At 36.9% G+C, this 3,413-nt stretch overlaps 1 pseudogene; it reads left to right on the top strand.

Moving 5' to 3' along the window:
• Positions 430-1,728, top strand: LOC727681 (NSL1, MIND kinetochore complex component, homolog (S. cerevisiae) pseudogene; annotated as a pseudogene).

Here is a 3,413-nt window from a genome sequence, read left to right as displayed (position 1 = left end):
CATTTTAACAATATTAACTTTTCTAATCCATGAACATAAGATATCTTTTCATTTATTTATGTCTTCATCAGTTTCTTTCATCAATGTTTTATAGTTTTCAGTGTACAACTCTTTCATTTCCTTAGTTAAATGTATTCCTAAGTATTTTTTGATACTATGATAAATGTGATTGTTTCTTGATTTCTTTTTTGGATAGTTCATTATTAATGTATAGAAACACTTCTGCTTTTGTATGTTGGTTTTATATCCTGTAGCTTTACTGAATTCATTTATTAGTTCTAACAGTTTTCTATGGGTTTTCTATAAATAAGACCATGTTGTCTGCAAACAGGGACAATTTAACTTCCTACTTTCTAATTTAGATGCATTCCTTTCTCTTGCCTAATTGTTCTGGCTAGGACTTCCAGTACTATGTTGAACAGAAGTGGCAAGAGTGGCCATCTTTGCTGTCCTTAAGTGCCATCAACTCTCAGCTGCCTTGCAGCTTTTGTGGGATTTAACAAGTAACAAATTCTGTTGGGTTTTCCTGGTATACATCTTTCTAGGAAAAAAAAAGAGAGCTGTATAATGATTTTTCGTTTACATGTTGAAAAGTAATTATCAGTTCTACATAGCAGCAGATGCAGGTTTTTCAAAGATGCAGTTTGATTTATCAAACTAATGTGCAGACGACAATACTGGCTTTGTTACTCTATGTTCAGCTAATTTAGGTTTGTGAGATTAATTTGGGATTTTTTTGTTTTGTTTTGCAAGACAAAGAAAACTATTATTTGTGCAAGCATTACTCTTTGAAATAAAAATTGGCATGTAGCCAATGTTTCCTGCCCACACTTATTTTTTCTACAGACCTTTAACATAATTTGACTTGGAACTAATGGTTTCTTTATTGGATTTCTTATTTATTTCTTTATAGATCATTCTACTTCAAAATATGGATCACATTAATATATTGGCAAAGTGTCATTGTGGAACAAATACAACCATATTGAACTATTTCACATTTGAAGATGTTTATATATCAGATATATAATCACTGGGAGAAATCTGAGAAAGCTATATTGACGTTACTTCCTTTTTTTTTTTTTTTTTTTTTTTTGAGTCAGAGTCTCGCTCTGTCACCCAGGCTGGAGTGCAGTGGCGCGATCTCGGCTCACTGCAAGCTCCACCTCCCGGGTTCACGCCATTCTCCTGCCTCAGCCTCCAGGCGTCCGCCACCGTTCCCGGCTAATTTTTTTTTTGTGTTTTTAGTAGAGACGGGGTTTCACTGTGGTTTCGATCTCCTGACCCGTGATCCGCCCGCCTCCACTACCCAAAGTGCTGGGATTACAGGCATGAGCCACCGCGTCCAGCCTTGCCTTTACTTCTAACATTTAACTATAGTTTCTTATAGCTCTTATCATGTCTCTTACATTACACAGTGTAGGCAGGGCCATCTAACTTACCAACTATTTCCCCTTTTGATGACCGATACCTTCCTTCATTTTCAAAGGAATTTACTGATCATGAGGTTGGAAAATCTGTACTTCTCTTGCTTATTATGTATTAATGATCATAAATGTCTAGATTCACCAGAATATCTGTCTCAGTGAGGAAAACATATAAAGCCACTTTATTGCATTTTGTCTTTTAATGTTACAATTTGAGATCTGTATATTTGTACACAGCAATGTGTTTTTTATTAAAATAATGTACAAATAAAAGAGTGGCCATCTTTGTCTTGTTACTGAGCTAGAGGAAAGGCTTTCAACTTATTACCATTGAGTATTATGTTATCTCTGGGTTTGTTACATATGGTCTTTATTATGTTGAGGTACATTCCTTCTACACCTGATTTGTTGATAATTTTTTATCATGAAGGAATGCCGAATTTTGTCAAATGCTTGTTCTGCATTTGTTGAGACGATCATATGGTTTTTGTTCATCATTCTGTTAATGTGCTATATCACATTTATAGATTTGTGTATGTTGAACCATCCTTGGGATAAATCCCACTTGAATATCATATATTATCCTTTTAATGTGCTGTTGAATTTAGTTTGCTAGTTTTGTTTGAGATTTTTGCATCTATATTCATCAGGGATGCTGGCCTGTAATTTTCTTTCTCCTTTTCTTTCTTTTTTATTTGAAAGAGGGTCTCACTCTGTCACGCAGGCTAGAGTGCAGTAGCACAATCACATCTCACTGCAGCCTCAACCTCCCCAGGCTCAGGTGATCCTCCCACCTCAGCATCCCGAGTAGCTGGGACTACAGGTGTGTACACTACAGGTGTTTTTGTGTTTTTTTTGTAGGGATGGGTTTTTGCCATGTTGCCCAGGCTGGTCTCAAACACCTGGGCTCAAAAAATCTTCCTGCCTCAGCCTCCCAAAGTGCTGAAATTACAGGTGTGAGTGACTGTGCCCAGTCATCCCATAATTTTCTTTTTGTGTAGTGTCCTCTGGCTTTTATACCGGGGGCCTTATAAAATGAGTTTGGAAGTGTTCCCTCTTTTTCATTTTTTCTTGGAAGCATTTGAGAAGAATTATTAGTTCTTTAAATGTTTGGTAGAGTTCCTCAGTGAAGCCATTAGGTCTTGGGCTTTTCTTTGATGGGAGATTTTTATTACTGGTTCAATCTCCTTACTCATTATTGGTGTCTTCAGATTTTTTTATTTCTTCATGATACAGTCTTGGTAGGTTGCCTGTGTCTGGCAATTGATCTGTTTCTTCTAGGTTATCCAATTTGTTGGCATATCATTGTTCATAGATGTCTCCTTTGTATTTCTGTGGTATCATTTATAATATCTCCTCTTGCATTTCTGATTTAACTTAGTTAAGTCCTCATTTTTTCTCTTAGTCTAGCTAAAAATTTGTTGATTTTGGGCTGGGCGTGGTGGCTCATGCCTGTAATCCCAGCACTTTGGGAGGTCAAGGCGGGTGGATCACCTGAGGTCGTGAGTTCTTGACCAGCCTGACCAACATGGAGAAACCCCATCTCTACCAAAAATACAAAATTAGCTGGGCGTGGTGATGCATGCTTGTAATCCCAGCTACTAGGGAGGCTGAGGTAGGAGAATCGCTTGAACTCGGGAGGCAGAGGTTGTGGTGAGCCAAGATCGCACCGTTGCACTCCAGCCTGGGAAACAAGAGCGAAACTCCATTTCAAAAAAAAAAAAAAAATTGGTGATTTTATCTTCTCAAAACACAAACTCTTAGTTTTGTTGATCTTTTCTATTGTTTTTATAGTCTCTATTTCATTTATTTCTGCACTGTTATTTATATGTCCTTCCTCCAGCAAACTTTGGGCTTAGTTTATACTTTTTCTTTTCTAGTTTGTTGATGAGCAATGTTAGGTTGTTTTGCTTTCTTCTTTTTTGATGTAGGTGTTTATAGCTATAAACTTCCCTCTTAGAACTACATCTTTTGAGAATGGCGATC

This window comes from Homo sapiens, chromosome X (assembly GCF_000001405.40).
Source record: "Homo sapiens chromosome X, GRCh38.p14 Primary Assembly".
Classification (NCBI taxonomy): domain Eukaryota; kingdom Metazoa; phylum Chordata; class Mammalia; order Primates; family Hominidae; genus Homo; species Homo sapiens.
This window is presented reverse-complemented; position numbering and strand designations above follow the sequence as displayed.